The sequence below is a fragment of the Homo sapiens genome, chromosome 7 (genome assembly GCF_000001405.40).
Source record: "Homo sapiens chromosome 7, GRCh38.p14 Primary Assembly".
Classification (NCBI taxonomy): Eukaryota; Metazoa; Chordata; class Mammalia; order Primates; family Hominidae; genus Homo; species Homo sapiens.
In genome coordinates, this window is record NC_000007.14 from 44,069,827 (window position 1) to 44,084,905 (window position 15,079).

The 15,079-nt window shown below is 53.7% G+C and overlaps 1 protein-coding gene and 1 non-coding gene across 8 annotated transcripts, besides 6 other annotated features; both read right to left on the reverse strand.

Moving 5' to 3' along the window:
• POLM (DNA polymerase mu) lies at nt 2,236-12,704 on the reverse strand. Of its 7 annotated transcripts, none has more exons than NR_104299.2 (11): nt 12,425-12,704; nt 10,907-11,090; nt 10,035-10,133; nt 9,745-9,915; nt 8,930-8,985; nt 6,683-6,803; nt 4,572-4,704; nt 4,305-4,394; nt 3,957-4,199; nt 3,799-3,882; nt 2,236-3,551 (listed from the first exon to the last, which is right to left on the reverse strand). NR_104299.2 is itself a non-coding variant. In NM_013284.4 (11 exons), exons 1-11 carry the CDS (start codon nt 12,610-12,612, stop codon nt 3,465-3,467), a joined length of 1,485 nt encoding a protein of 494 aa, NP_037416.1. In that variant the 5' UTR covers nt 12,613-12,704; the 3' UTR covers nt 2,236-3,464. The 7 variants fall into 7 exon arrangements, 4 of the variants coding, with proteins under 4 accessions (NP_037416.1, NP_001349612.1, NP_001271260.1 ...); NR_156112.2 differs by having other exon boundaries at nt 2,236-3,604; nt 8,914-8,985; NM_013284.4 differs by having other exon boundaries at nt 4,305-4,407; nt 8,914-8,985.
• MIR6838 (microRNA 6838) lies at nt 3,552-3,607 on the reverse strand. Its single transcript, NR_106897.1, has one exon. It is a non-coding gene; the product is annotated as a microRNA 6838 (primary transcript).
• Nucleotides 4,273-4,472: an enhancer, noted in NCBI's record as "active region_25928". NCBI's record gives its function as "activates an Ori minimal core promoter by ATAC-STARR-seq in GM12878 lymphoblastoid cells {active_cell/tissue: GM12878}" and the evidence as "EXISTENCE:reporter gene assay evidence [ECO:0000049][PMID:35858748]".
• Nucleotides 4,543-4,612: an enhancer, noted in NCBI's record as "active region_25929". NCBI's record gives its function as "activates an Ori minimal core promoter by ATAC-STARR-seq in GM12878 lymphoblastoid cells {active_cell/tissue: GM12878}" and the evidence as "EXISTENCE:reporter gene assay evidence [ECO:0000049][PMID:35858748]".
• Nucleotides 9,731-10,638: an enhancer, noted in NCBI's record as "H3K4me1 hESC enhancer chr7:44119156-44120063 (GRCh37/hg19 assembly coordinates)". NCBI's record gives its function as "activates a minimal SCP1, AML or CMV promoter by ChIP-STARR-seq in naive H9 embryonic stem cells {active_cell/tissue: H9 hESC(naive)}" and the evidence as "EXISTENCE:reporter gene assay evidence [ECO:0000049][PMID:30033119]".
• Nucleotides 12,478-12,978: an enhancer, noted in NCBI's record as "H3K27ac hESC enhancer chr7:44121903-44122403 (GRCh37/hg19 assembly coordinates)". NCBI's record gives its function as "activates a minimal SCP1, AML or CMV promoter by ChIP-STARR-seq in primed H9 embryonic stem cells {active_cell/tissue: H9 hESC(primed)}" and the evidence as "EXISTENCE:reporter gene assay evidence [ECO:0000049][PMID:30033119]".
• Nucleotides 12,478-13,269: a biological region, named in NCBI's record as "H3K27ac hESC enhancer GRCh37_chr7:44121903-44122403".
• Nucleotides 12,690-13,269: a silencer, noted in NCBI's record as "silent region_18141". NCBI's record gives its function as "represses an Ori minimal core promoter by ATAC-STARR-seq in GM12878 lymphoblastoid cells {active_cell/tissue: GM12878}" and the evidence as "EXISTENCE:reporter gene assay evidence [ECO:0000049][PMID:35858748]".

The following is a 15,079-nucleotide window of genomic DNA, read 5'->3' on the forward strand; positions in this document are numbered from 1 at the left end:
GGAGAAGGAGAGATAGGAGGGAAGGAAAAAAGGAAAGAAGAAACAGCAATGGAAAACAGGGAACAAACAGAAAACAACATAATGGTAGATCTAAAGCCAAACATTTCAATAGTTGCATTAAACATAAATGGCCTCATCACGCCAATTCGACATATTATCAGTTTGGATTATAAAAACCTAATTATATGCTGTCTTTAAGTAACTCACATTAAATATAACAGGATACAAGTAGGTTGAAGTAAAAGGTAACAACTCATTCTCTGAGGGCAGTATTACCCTGATACCAAACCCAGACAAACAACCTAAGGAAACTACAGACCAACCTCTTATGAGTACATATGCAAAAATTGAGAGTCCAGGGAAAAATCCTTCACACAATGGTTAATTGATTTTTGACAAGGGTGCCAAAATAATTCAATGAGTAAAGAATAGTATCTTTAACAAATGGTGCTGGGACAACTGGATTTCCACGTGCAAAACAATGAATCCCCACTTTACACTTATATAAAAATTAACTCAAGGCCGGGCACTGTGGCTCACACCTGTAATCCCAGCACTTTGGAAGGCCGAGGTGGGCAGATCACGAGGTCAGGAGATCCAGACCATCCTGGCTAACACGGTGAAACCCCGTCTCTACTAAAAATATAAAAAATTAGCCGGGCGTGGTGGTGGGTGCCTGCAGTCCCAGCTACTCGGGAGGCTGAGGCAGGAGAATGGTGTGAACCCGGGAGGCAGAGCTTGCAGTGAGCCGAGATCGCACCACTGCACTCCAGCCTGGGCGACAGAGCGAGACTCCGTCTCAAAAAAAAAAAATTAGCTGGGCTTGGTGGCTTGTGCCTGTAGTCCTAGCTACTTGGGAGGCTGAGGCAGGAGGATTGCTTGAGCACAGGAGTTTGAGACTGCAGTGAGCTATGATCATACTACTGCACTCCAGCCTGGGTGACAGAGCAAGACCCTGTTTCTGGGGAAAACAAAGAAACAAACTATAAAAGAAAGCAAAGAAAATCTTTGTGATTTGGGGTCAGAGATAGGACTCCAAAAACATAAGAAAAAAACTGGTAAACTGAATAAATTGATAAACTGGACTTCACAAAAATTAAATACATTTACTATGAAAAAAACAGTGCTAAAAGAAGAAAGATAGTCTACACACTGGGAAAAAATATTTACCAGTCACCATAGTGGCACATAAAGAACTCTCAAGATTGAACAGTAACAGATGGGCATGGTGGCTCATGCCTGTAATCCTAGCACTTTGGGTTTTGCCATGTTGGCCAGGCTGGTCTCGAACTCCTGACCTCAGGTGATCCACCCACCTTGGCATCCCAAAGTGCTGGGATTACAGGTGTGAGTCACCATGCCTGGCCAACAATTCCATTTTTAAAAATGAGACTTGAACAGCCACTTCACCAGTGAGGACATAGAAGCCAGTGAACAGATGTTCAACGTTATCAGGCATTAGGGAAATGAAAATAAAACCACAGTGAGCTACTGTTATGTACCTACTACTAGAAAAGCTAAAGTTAACAAATACTGCAACTATCAAGTGCTGACAGGGATACAGAGCAACTGCCTACTGTGGTGTTTAACTTACAGGGGTGCTCACAACGCTGGTGGACTGCAAAATGACAGACGCACTCGGGACAACAACTTGGCTCTTATGAAATAAACATATACTTACCAAATGACCCAGTAATCCTGTGCCTATTTACCCAAGAGAAATGAAGACCCATGTGTTACACGAAAACCTGTACATGCATGTCTGTAGCAGTACGATTCATCATCTCCAAACCCTGGAAACAACCCAGACTTTTTTTCTTTTTAGGCAGACTCTTGCTCTGTCGCCCAGGCTGGAGTGCAGTGGCACAATCTCAGCTCACTGCAACCTTGGCATCCCAGGTTCAAGCAATTCTTATGCCTCAGCCTCCCGTGTAGCTGGGAATACAGGTATGAGCCAACATGCCCAGCAAATTTTTGTATTTTTTGTAGAGATGGGGTTTCGCCATGGTGGCCAGGCTGGTCTCAAACTCCTGGCCTCAAGTGATCCACCCGTCTCAGCCTCCCAAAGTGCTAGGATTACAGGCATGAGCCACGGCATCCGGCCACAACCCAGACATTCAACACCTGAATGGATAAACTGTAGAACACCCATGGCATGGAACAAATTACAAACTCAACATACCCAGCAACCTGCAGGAACGTCAAAGGCATTAGGCTGTGGGGAGAGGCCAGTCCAAAGGTTAAATATAGTTTGGTTCTATTTACATGACATTCTAGAGAAAGCAAAACTATAGGGATGTAGCACCGCTAAGTGGGTGGGGGTGGAGAAGCACATGACCACAATAGGACAGCATGGGAAGTGTTCTGGGGATGGACCTGGTGTGCCCTACGTGTGCAAAAACTGCACCCCAAGAGTCAACTTTACTGCATGTTTTCAAAATATTTTTTAATGTGATGAGTGGTCTGGGAAATCCTCGCCTAACAAAGTGGCTTTTGATTCAAGGCCTGAAGAAGGGGAGGGCCCACTCCAGGTAGATGACATGGCCAGGGCAAAACCTGAGGCCAGAGTGTGCCTGGGGATATGAGGGACGTGGAGGGCACCCATGTCCAGCCCACCTCAGTGCTTCTGCCTCAGTGAGAAGGGGAGGGAGTTGGCCACAAGGGGGCCTGGGTGCATCAAATAGGAAGCCGGTGAGTCAAGCAGCTCGGGGCCAGTGGGGCTGGAGAGATGCCAGAGCCAGGGGCTATGTGTGGACTTAGGGTTTGGAACCATTAAAGGGCTCTGCGACGGGAGTGGCAGGATATGACCTATTTTTGAGACATTGTGCTGAGAACAGGCCTTAAAGGCAGAAGCACAGAGCCTGGCTCGGGGCGCTGCAGTACTGAAGCCCCATAGTTGAAAATTATCTTCCTCCCAGCTCCTACCCAGGCCCTCTCCCTCTCCAGATGCCTACAGCACACCAGACAGTAGGCTCCTTGCTGGCACGAACCACAGCCTCCAGCTCATGGCTCTCAAATGCAGTGCAGGTATGCATGGTTCTCTTCTGGGCATTCTGGGCAGGGTGCCCTGCAGGAGCCACAGTTAACTGCAGTGCAACTAATGAGACACTGCACATCAGGGACCACTTGCCATTCATGACTGCAGGCCCCACCACAGCTCCACGATGTGGGCCCCACTCACATCCCATCCAGGGCAGGAACGTGAGCCATGGGGAGGCTAAGAGCAGACCCAGGGTCACACAGTGATGAGGCTGGCACTGAGGGCTCCCACCTCATCACACCCTGCAGCACACCAGCAGGGGCTCAACTGATCCTGCAGGCACAATTGACCTCCGGAAGAGCCAGGCCTTGGCGGGGAGGGGTGAAGGTGGGGGTCAGGGGGCAGCATATCTGCCTGGAGACATTCAGTGGCCAGGTTGGGGGCAGCCCAATTTCCTGAGTGGAAGTGGGGGACACAGGCAGGCTCAGGCGTTTCTCTGCTCTGGAGGAAGGTACTCAAGGCCCAGGTGTCTGAAGATGTCTTCCTCTGAAGCCGCTTGGAAAAATGTCTTCTGCAACAGAAGCAGGACTTCCGTGACCTAGGAGTCTTGCCACTGCTGCTTCCCTGCAGGAAGACTGAGGGTGGGGAAGAGCCCAGCGCCGAGGTGGGGTGTGCTCTTGAGGGCCAGGAACTGTGTGTGGAGACCCAGATTCGGGTCCTATGGGTTTCAGGCTGGAGGGGTCTGGGGCCATTTCAGATTGTGGGTCAGGGAGCGGACTATGGGTGCTGTTTGCTGTCCCCAGTCCCCAACAATGTACCTGCTCCGGGTCAAACAGCCCATGGCTGTTCAGCCACAGGCCCTTCTCCTTCCGGCTGAAGCGGCGCAGCTCCCGCTGGAAAAGCTGTAGGGAAGGGATTGTCCTCAGCAGGGCTGGCCCAGCCCCACCCCCAGGCGGCCCAGCGGCACACTGCCTACCTTGGAGCCAGTCCAACCGAGCAGGGCGAAAGGGAACTGGCTGACGGGTGCAACTACCAAGTCCACTCTCACGGCCTTCCAGGATGGGCAGGGCCTCGTGGATCCCCCCACAGCAGCCCCTGGAGGTTGTGGTAGGCGGAAAATGCAGAAACTTCTCTCAAAAGCGTCCATGTGGCTCTGTTGGGCCAGGCGGGTAGGGGACTCACAGCAGCTGTGCTGGTGCTGGTGGTACAGGATGAGGCCCTGTGGGGAGAGGCGGGCGTGGCTGAGACCATCCGGTGGTGTGGAGAGAGCAGGAGGCAGTGGCATTGGCCAGCGGTGGCTCTTGGGGAGCAGGGAGGCCCTCACCTGGTCCTGCAGGCGGCACATCACTCTAGGCAGCAGCCCCGCCTCCTGACCCTCCTTGGGGTGGGTGATGAGGAAGTCCACGTCATGGCCCTGCAACTTCCCCCTGAGGGCGTCAGTCTGACTCTGACTCAGGGACACGGCCTGCTCACTCCAGCCCCAGGCCACATCCCTTCCAACGAGTGGGCCCGCTTCAGGGTCCCCGACTCAGGTCCCTTCACTGGGGAGGGGTCTGAAGCCAAGCCAGAGGGGCACGTCGGGCCTTCTTACCTGCGGAAGCCGCCGGTCAGCGTGACGGTGGCCCCAGGCAGGGCCTGCCCCACAGCTTCCTCCACCACCTGCTGCAGGGCATCTACATCGGACCGCAGGACTGGGGTGCTCAGGTCCTGGTGGTGCTGGAGCCCTGGGGGCAACACCGGCCCTCCTGACTCACCCAGCCTGCCCACCACACCGAGCCCCCATCCCTCACCAGCATGAGGTGATCAACCTGGGGCCCCGTCATTGCAGGACCAGGAGAGGCCTCCGAGGAAGGTGAGGCTAGGGCAGGGAGCAGAGTGAGATCCCAATCTAAGCCTGACACTATCTTCTCTCCCCCTTTAAATTTTAAACTTTTATTTTGAGACAGTTGTAGATTCACTCGCAGTTAAAAGAAATAGCACAGAGGGAGATCCCATGTGCCTTTTACCCAGCTCCCCCAAAAGGTTAACCCCTTACAAAACTATAATTTTGCAACCAAATATAAGGATACTGATGTTGATACAGTCATGCCACAGGCTATCTCTTTTGATGGCTGTTTTTCCTTATGCATAAAGTGGGACCAAGAGGTGGTAAAAGGATGGAAGATGGCTTTGCCATGACGAACACCTCACTCTGGCCTACTTCTGTTTCCTCACCTATCAGCCTCCCACACGCAGTTAAGGAGAGGTTTATTTATTTATTTGAGATGGAGTCTCGCTCTTGTTGCCCAGGTTGGAGGGCAGTGGCGCAATCTGAGCTTACTGCAACCTCCACCTCCCAGGTTCAAGTGATTCTCCTGCCTCAGCCTCCCGAGTAGCTGAGATTACGGGTGTCTGCCACCACACCCAGCTAATTTTTTATTTTTAGTAGAGACAGGGTTTCGCCACGTTGGCCAGGCTGGTCTTGAACTCCTAACCTCAGGTGATCCACCCGCCTCGGCCTCTCAAAGTGCTGGGACTACATAAAGATGTGAGTCATGGCACCCAGCTAAGGAGAGGTTTAAATGTGAGGAACAGCAGCACCTGGCACAGTGAGCTCTCAGTAAACGCTGCTAACCATTCCTGACTACTCTTGCCATGGGGAGAGGCGATCAAGAGGAACCAGCTCTGCGGGTCTCACCTCCTGTCAGCTGAACTGGGCAGTGGCCCGGGGGAAGATGTGCGAAGAGGCAGTGGAGCTGGCAGTGCCTGCTGGGCTGTGGGGATTGCTTCAGCAGAGCCCTCAACCCAAGGGAGGTCCCAGATGGTGTGGCCAGAGTAGCCAGGCAGGCCATGCAGAGAGAACAGAGTATCTGCTCAACACCTGCCACTTGCCGGCTCTCACAGGGGAGCCTACGAATTCATTCCTTCCCACCTTTTTTTTTTTTTTTTTTTGAGATAGGGTCTTGCTCTGTCACTCAGGCTGGAGTGCAGTGGCTCAATCTCAGCTCATTGCAACTTCCACCTTGGCCTCAAGGCTTGACCTCCCGGGCTCGAGCGATCCTTGTACCTCGGCCTCATGAGTAGCTGGTACTACGGGCATCCACCATCACGCCTGGCTAACTCTTGTATTTCTCGTAGAGACAGGGTTTCACCCTGTTGCCCAGACTGGTCTTGAACTGCTGAGCTCAAGCGATCTACCCACCTTGACCTCCCAAAGTGCTGGGATTACAGGTGTGAGTCACCATGCCCAGCCTTCCTTCTCCATTTTACAGAAAATGTAACAGACTCAGAGAGGTTATTTCTTGGGCAATGGTCACCTACCTGGCAAATGGTAGATAAGACTCAAACCCAGGCCTAACAAACTTGAAAGCTGATGTTCTTTCTGCTGCTCAGTGCCACCTCTGCAGGCCTCCATGTACCAAGCACCACACTGGGCAGTGTGCCCAAGGCCCAGGCTGTCCCTGGTCACTGGTCAAAGTCTAACCAGTAGGCAGACACAAGCCCCTGGCATATCATGGAAGTTGCTGTGGTCAGCATCGTCCACTGAGAAAAGGCTTTGATAGATCCTGACTGCACTGGGTGGAGACCCCAGGAAGCCCACCACACAAAGCTGCCACCAAACCCTCTGCACCAGACTGCTCCCTTCCCTCTAGGGAGTTGATGCTGAGGGATCCAGGGTGCAGTTTAGGGAAGCCCAGGGCCCAGCCTCTCTGGAGGGCTCACCCGCTTTCTGCTGTTGGGTTAGTTTCTGGGGCTGCTCTCGGAGGTCATCTAAGGTTCGCAGTCCTTCCCGGTACCACCGGTCAGCAGTCTTCACACCGACCCCGAAGATCTGGGTGAAGAGCTGTGGGGAAGGAGCGTAGCCCGGTTGGGCAGAGCTCTCATGGCTAGACTCGGATGATCACCCGCTCCGGGACGGTGTGGCCCATGGAGCACCATGCACCAGGCAGGCGCCGTCCCCACTCGCAACCTGCCGTAGACCACAGGGCAAGGATTCAAACCTGGAGCCTGACTACCCAGCCTGCCGTCTCTGGGAACAAACCCACGCACACCCCTCTCCTCTCCTCTATGAAAGGGACTTACACAGCTCTAGCCTGTGATTCCAACATAATCAAAACAGTCACCCTAACACATCAGCACGAGGGGCTCCTAAGTCACTGGAAAAACCATGCCTCTCCCACCTAACAGAAGGTGGAACAAATTTCTGTGGTTCTCCTCCTTAGCCAACAGCAAAAAACAATGAGGAGTTAACAATCAAAAGGGTGGATTTAGGAGCAGAGTTGGCAGGGCTGGCTGGGGTGCTCACATATCTTCCCACAGAGGGTGGGCCCCAGCCCAAGCAAGTCACCTGCTTCAGGTCAGCCACTAGAGTCCCTCCCTAGGAATTCTGGATCTGAGACTGAGGGCAGGCCCACACAGTGGCAGAAGCTGTAGCCTGTGGCAGCCGAGCACCTTTTGTGGCCACATTTCCAACCGATGGAAGAAGCTGGTGCGTCGCAAGAGAGGGCGAAGCCACCGTGCAGAGGGGCAGAGGGGAGGAGGAGTGGCCTGGTGATACCCAGGTCGCTGAGCCCAGTTGTCCTGCAGACCGGCCACAGCCCTCCCCATCCTGGGCTCTGCTGGCCCTCCTTTCCTTTATTTTGTGAACCAACGGTGTGGGGTGGGTCACTGTCACTTGCAACCCAAAGAATCCTGACTAAAAATGATGAGATTAACCCAATTATATTGTTAATAAACTTCTCATTACTAATGTAATTTTCTGCCAGCCTAGATGCCTTCAGGGCTGGGGCTGAGGCTGACAGTGAAAGTACTCACTAACCTCACACCACTTCAAGGGGATTTCATCATCTTCAGGCCCCTCACTCCCACACTCACCACGGTGGCCCCACTCATCTGGTCCCCTGTCCCTGCCAGTGCCCCTTGCCCCCTTCCCTGCATATTTGAGCCCATTTGCCCTGCACACACTGCTCAAGTCTCTCCTCTTCGAAGCCCTCCCTGTCAATCCTGACAACATTCTGTGTGACCTCCCAAGGCCCCATCCACCCAGGAAGCCACACTTCACTGACAGTTATCCATGTGGCCACCGCTGTGACACCTCCAGCCACAAAGCCAGTTGGCAGAAGGGTGTCAAAGCAGGCACACCCGAGGCATCCAAAAGAACTCAGACGGCATTTCCCTATCAGACCAGGAGTGAGCAGAAACAGAGGGAAGGTGGCCATGGAAACAGGCAGGCTGACAACACTGAGAAAATAACACATAAGGTCCTGCAGAAGGCGGGCAAGGGCAAGCCCAGCATGCTCAGTGGCAGCACCCAAGGGTACATTTGGTTCACAGTGCTCTGTTTAAGATGCCACAGCATGTAATCTACTTGAGAATATTCCATCAAAAACAGTCAAGGCAGAGCGAAGTGGCTCATGCCTATAATCCCAGCATTTTGGGGACCAAGGCAGGAGAATCATTTGAGCATAGGGGTTTGAGACCAGCTTAGGCAACATTACCAAGACCCCATCTTTACGAGAAAGATTTAAAAATTAACCTGGTGTGGTGGCACATGCCTGTAGTCCCAGCTACTCCAGAGACTGAGGTGGGAGGATGGTTTGAGCCCAGGAAGTCAAGGCTGCCGTGAGCTGTGATCGCACCACTGTACTCCAGCCTGGGCGACAGAGCGAGACCCTGTCTCAAAAACAAAATAAAACAAAAAGCCCCAAAAGCCAGATGGTGCTGAGTGATCTAGAAAATTCTGTCCTCAAAACAAGCTTCTTCCTTGCCTGTCTCCACTTGGCTGCCTTGTGCATATCAGGTATCAGCTTAGCTGCCACTTCCTCGGCAAGACCTTCTCTGACCCCTGGGCTGGGTCAGCTGCCCCTGTTTGCCTCCCCGTGCATGGTGTGGACTGTGTTGTCATTCCCAGGGCAGGACATTCCTGGGGTAGGTCCGAGCCCTGCCCTGCGCACCTTCATGGTCTGGTACCTCTCTGAGCGCCGAACTCTCTCCACCTCCTCACACACTCCATGCTCCAGCAGCTCCTGGGGGAGGGAACAAAGCAGAACTCTAAGCCTGAGGGCGTGGGAAGAAAGAGAAGGGCGGGGAGTTAGGGTCAGGGCTGGGGGCCCAAGGACTGAGGCAGTCCCCTCCAACACCCGGCAGAGACAACTTTGTGAGGTCAGGGTCCAGTAGGACCTGGAAATGGAGACTGTGCCCAGGGAGGTGACCAAAGTTGCTGCCACACAGCTGGGAGGTCAGGGCTCCAGCCTCAAAGCTCCTTCGGGCCTGGAGTTACAGCAGCTGAGATGCCAGGTAACGTGGATCATCTCTCAGTCAAATAAGTCCCAAGATACATAAACAATTGCTTTTCAGAACATGTGAACTCAATACTACTTCATTTAAAAGCATCTTCTGTCACTGTGTATTCTTGCAATGAAAGTGCACTAAAGGACAACTAAACACACTGGGGCACTGAAAAGAGATGCTCACACTCAGGGTGCTCTCTTTCATTCCACTGTGGAGGGCAGTTTGGGACTAATGACAATGACAACAGTGTCACCCCTAGCCCTGCCAGGCCCCTCACAGCGCCATTCACTGGGTCCTCTAGGCCACCCAGGAGTAAATGGCTAGTGTGCACAGGAGGAATCTGAGCGCAGAGGGTGGCTTGTTGAGGCCTTGGAGCAGTGTCAGCACCCACGACTGTCTGTCCTCACCCACCCCCACAGCACCCTCTGCTGTCTCACCAGGCCCCAAGGCCTCCCCACCCACCCACTCACCCTGCTAGGATGGTAAGCACCTACCTGGACAACCCTAGAGGAGTGTTCTCCAAAGTGGGGAAGCCCCTGCAGCTGGCTCAGGGTTGTGACAGGGCTGGGAAGGGCCTTGAGCACCGAGGCTGCTCTGCAGAAGGTGAGGAGGCGGCCCTCACTGCCTTCAAAGCCTGCTGCCTCGGCCAGTATCTCCAGAGCCTCCTGCAGGGAGGGGCCCTAGGTAAGGGGCAGGGTGGGCAGCTCCAATCCCCCACCTACCACCCATCTGTACCCTTGTCCCCAACCCCCAGGGCTGGCCAAGGCTCATAGAAGCGGCTTACGGAGAGGCCAGTGTTGTGGTGTGTGAGGGGCGTAGGGCGCTGGCAGGCATAGGCAGGCATCCATGCTGGGCTCAGAGGCCCCTTCCTTGGCCCAGCCACCTGGGGATGGGCAATAAACAGGTCACTGTGAGGCTGCAGGGCTGGCAGGAGAGCCAGGCCGTACTCAGGCTTTGTTTCTCCTGGGGTGTCCAACTCGGGCCCTCTGGAGCTCATGGGACAGAGGTGGGCAACAAAACACCAGCGGCATGAGGCTGAGGGAGGCACCGCCCTGCAGAACAGGCTGTGCATGGGGCTCCTCATGCCAGGGTAGCAGCAATCACATCTGCCAGCCCTGTGGGCACTTCTCCTGCTGCTGCACATGATGCATGTACTCCATCACCCCAATCCTCACAACCAAGCGGGCTGGGGATGCTGAGGCCTTGGAGGCTAGGGGCTTGCCCCACAACCATGGCTCACAGGCTGGGCCAGGATTTGAAGGCAGGCAACCTGGCCCCAAGCCCACACCTGTCAGAGGCCGGGAGCCTTATAGCATCCAGAGGACAGGCTCCTGCTAACCCATGGGTCATCCCGCTCGGAGTTGCTGTGTCATCTACTTGGTGAGGAAGAAAGGCCTGAAGAAGGTAAAAATAAGCAGACCCCAGAATTTGCATCAGTGGTGAGAACAGAAGCTGAGATGGCCTGGCCCCCTCAGCCCCTTCTGTGGTTCCTCTACTGGTTTATAGGGGGCCCCTGGTGATCTGGGTAGAGTCTTCACTGCCCACCTCCTCTGAAGGACATTGAGGCATTGCTGCCATGTCACCTGTCCCAGCTGAGCAATGGCCTACACTGGGGCTTTCACTGTAGCCCCCACTTTAGTCTTCCACCCAGCTCACCTCCAGGCGGTGCCGGCACTCCACAGGTACAGGCTGCCCAGCTCCCAGGCTCTCTGTTAACCAGCTTATGTCCAGCAGAGCTGGGGGGGTGCAACCCGGGGGAGCAGCTGCCATCCTGCGCTCCTGCCAGCTGACGGCCTCCTCTGCTGAGGTCTCTTCCATCACAACATGTGTCGCTTCGGAGCTGGTGGAGGGAGTTGGGAGAGAAGGAGGAGGGTGAGGCCCAGAGCCCGTCCTGGTTGGCTCCAAGCCTTCACTCTTGCCGTCCCTTCTGCATGGTAAGTGACCATTCATCCTGCAAACGTCACCTCCTCCAGAAAGCCTTCCCAGCCCCTCCTCCTGGTAGATGAACACCTCCACCACTCAGCCCTCAGAACCGTAGTTCTCTGCCCTGGCTATGTTCACAAGCACAGCCCAGTCTTGTGCTCTCTCCCTCCCTCTTCACCTCAAAGAAAGGAATTCCTTAGGGTCAGGACCAGGTGGTCTTCATCTAAGAGCAAGGGTTTCAGCAGAGATGGAGGAGCCTGTTTGGGTCTGAACCCCAGCTCTGCCTGCCACATACTTGTTTGGCTCTTGGGCAAGCCACGTGTCTATACTTTGATTTCCTCTTCTGTAAAGCAGAGATAACATATCCACCCTGTGGGGTTGTTGTACAAAGATAGTGCCTTGTACACTCTAAGCTGCTATCATCCTCTCCTGAGTGGGTCTGGCGCACTACTGATCCCTGGTAATGTTAAAAAATCAAACACAACTGTGGGGGAATACTAGCCCCAGGTTCGTTTGCTCTCTCAACCTCCAAACTAGGGGGCACCCCCAGCTCCCTTACTCTGGGTGTTGTCTCTGTAGCCGCCATTTTTTCTTCTCTTGGTTCCCTTCCTACAAGAGCTTCTCAGTCGTGTTATTTACTCAGGCCTGAGGACAGAGGAGCCTGCGGGCTCCGGGCCTCTTGAGAAGTCAGTCTCGCTCACAGGTGGGACATAGCCCAGGCAGAAGGGCTGTTAGCAAATACGACTTTTTTTTTTTTTTTTTTTGAGACAGAGTCTCACTCTGTCGCCCAGGCTGGAGTGCAGTGGCGCGATCTCGGCTCACTGCAAGCTCCGCCTCCCAGGTTCATGCCATTCTCCTGCCTCAGCCTCCCGAGTAGCTGGGACTACAGGTGCCCGCCACCACCTCCGGTTAATTTTTTGTATTTTTAGTAGAGACGGGGTTTCACCGTGTTAGCCAGGATGGTCTCGATCTCCTGACCTCGTGATCTGCCCGCCTCGGCCTCCCAAAGTGCTGGGATTACAGGCGTGAGCCACCGCGCCCGGCCTACTGCTTATTAATTACCCCTGACCTCTGGTTTTGATTCTCGCAGTGATCCTTTAAAACACGCCTCGCCCTAATTAATAGCACCCTTTACAGAAGAGGAGATGGAGGCTCAGGGAAAGGTCACAAGACCACGAAGTGCCACTGCAAACTTAGAATCCAAAACCAGAAGTGCCATGGAAGCCCTCGCCGCGCCGCGCCGCCCCGCACCTGCAGGCGTCAAGGACGCGGAAGCCTTTGGAGCGCGCCAGGCCTGTGAGGAAGGCCCGGCGGCTGCGACCCATGCGAGGCTCGACCAGGTAGATGGCGACTCCCGGGAAGCGCGTCGAGGGCGGCGTGGAGGAAGCGGCATCGCCGCTAGGGGACCCGACCCGCGCTCGCCGCCGTTTGGGGAGCATTGGGACGACAGCCTCCAGCAGCGCGGAGCGAACGCAGAGGGAAACTCCGAGCGAGACGGAAGGAAGCCCCAGTGAGGCTGACGGAAGCGGGTGGGCGGGCGGGCGGCCGCCGGCTGGAAGAGGACGTGGCCCCGCCCTATGCAAATGAGGCCTCTCCGTGGGGCTCGCTACTTGGGCCAGTCGGAGCGCTGGGGAGGGTCCGGGCTCCTACAGGATTGGGTGTCCCGGCCGCTCCGGAAGACCCGCCTCCATGCAAATAACGGCAGAGGACCCGCCTTTTATTTAAATTAATGTCTCGGAAAGCGCTGTTCGGCCCCATTGGCCTCCGGGAGGAGAGGCTGGGCTGGAGCGGGGCGGGGAGGGTGTTGGAGGGGGTGGAGGAGGCGGGGTCAAGGGGGCGTCCCCGGCTAGGGAGGGTGAACTGGGACCTAGGCCCGGGCGGAGCGGGGTGGGCTGTGTCCTTGGCGCCGGGGCTGGGTCTAGGGTTGAGCCGGCGGCTCGGGGCGGACGCGTGCGGGCTGTGCCCGATCCCTCTGCGCTCGGGACTGTCACACGGAAGCCGGCGGGCGCAGGACCGACACGCGGGTTTCCAATGCGCTGGTGGGGCGGTCGCTTCAAACACGCGGGAAGATTTTTCAGTCGAATGGCATTAGGACAACTGGCAGGCCATTTGGAAAAATAGAAGTTGGTGCCCTTCCTCATTCCTTAACACCAAAATAAATTCCAGATGGGTCAAACATTTCCATCTAAAAAGGAAACCAACAACGTACTGGAAAAAAGTCGGTGAATGTTTTTATGATCTAAATATCACAATAAACTTGGAAACACTAAAGGAAAAGAATGATAAACTGGACTACAGACAAATTTTAAATCTGATTAAAAATTAGAGTCAGAAGATAAACTGGGATAAAGTGTGAGATATTTTGGAATTAAGATTATCTCATGATAATCTTATCAAATTGTCCATAGATAAAAAGACAATAATTTAATAGAAAAATTAGCAAAAAAACTCACGTAGATGATTCTTAGAAGAAATCCTGGTCAATAAATTTATGACCAGAGTGCCCAACCTGTCCAGTCGTTACAGAATACCTAAATGAGAATATCTTCAGTTGTGGGTTTATCAAACATTCAAAAAAATTGACCACACATGTTGAAGGTGCGAGGTAATTGGCAATCCATAGGAAGGACTGTGGAAGCCAATGTGGCAACCACATCCAACAAAATGAAAACAAAATAATACACATTGATCCAGCAATTCCTTTCCCAAGATTGGGATTGCATTGAATCTATAGATCAAGCTGGGGAAATCTGATGTCTTGATAATATCAAGTCTTCTGTCTATCTTATTTAGATATACTCCATTTGTAACCTCTGTTACGGTAGTGTGGCACTGCTCAGCCTAACTGATGGGACACCAGATCAGATGCAACCCCCTTCCACATGCCTCTCCTCATCACTGCCCCATCGTCCTCAGTCTTGAGCCCCAGACTCCTTGAGCACCTATCCTTTTTCTTTGGCTCCTCTCTGACATCTTTAGTGGGCTGGCTCTTCCCCATCTCTGCACTCAGAGCACAGGGCTGAGGGGAGTGGGGGAGATGGCTCAGCCCAGGCATCCTCTTGACCTCCTACACCATCTCCCAGCCTCCTAATTCATCTACCTCTTCAGGGCTGTAGAGCTTCCTGGGCCTCAGGACCCACATACAGAAGCCAGGAGGCCTGCGTATGGTCCCTCTCTCCCCATCCTCCCCTTGTGCCAGCAGGGATGGGCAGGCTCTAAGGGTCTTCGTCTGTGGATCTGGCTCCTACCCTTCTCAAGGAGGAGGCTCTGCCCAAATATCCCCTGAGCAGATCCCTCTAGCTGTCTAAAACCATTTCTGTTCCTTTTAATGTCCTCTGTCTGGCCAGAGCACCTGGGCTCCCCTTGGAGCCCTTGTTCTCTCCTGGGAAGGCAGAGGCAGTTTTTAAGACTATGAGACCTGAATACTTAAAACACTGGGCAACTGTGCAAAAATGTTTGTGCAAGGAATCTCATCCAAATGACAGTGGAAGAAACTGCCTAGCTTAGAAATCAGCCAGGCCCTCTGAGTGGTTGCTGCAAAGTGTCTGCTAGGACAACATGGGGCTGAAGGATTCATGAAGATTGGCCAGTGGGGGCAAGAAGGGGTGAGGAGGTGGGGAGAGAGAGGGACTTGCCTGCTCTGCAGGACGAAGATGTGCCCTATACCCAGGGAGAGGTGGCCTGCCGTGGAGGTGAAACCACCTTTGCAGAATTGTAAGTCATGAGAGAAATCTAACATGACTGCCTCCCTCTTGCATCTAACCTCACAGACTAAATTGGTTTTCTTATTTCTTTTTTTTTCTTCTTCTTCTTGTAGTGCAGAGGCCAACATAACTATGAGAGGAATTTAGTTCATAGTTAAAGGCAAGAAAAACTGACCCCCTCCTTGTTTGGAGATTGAAACCA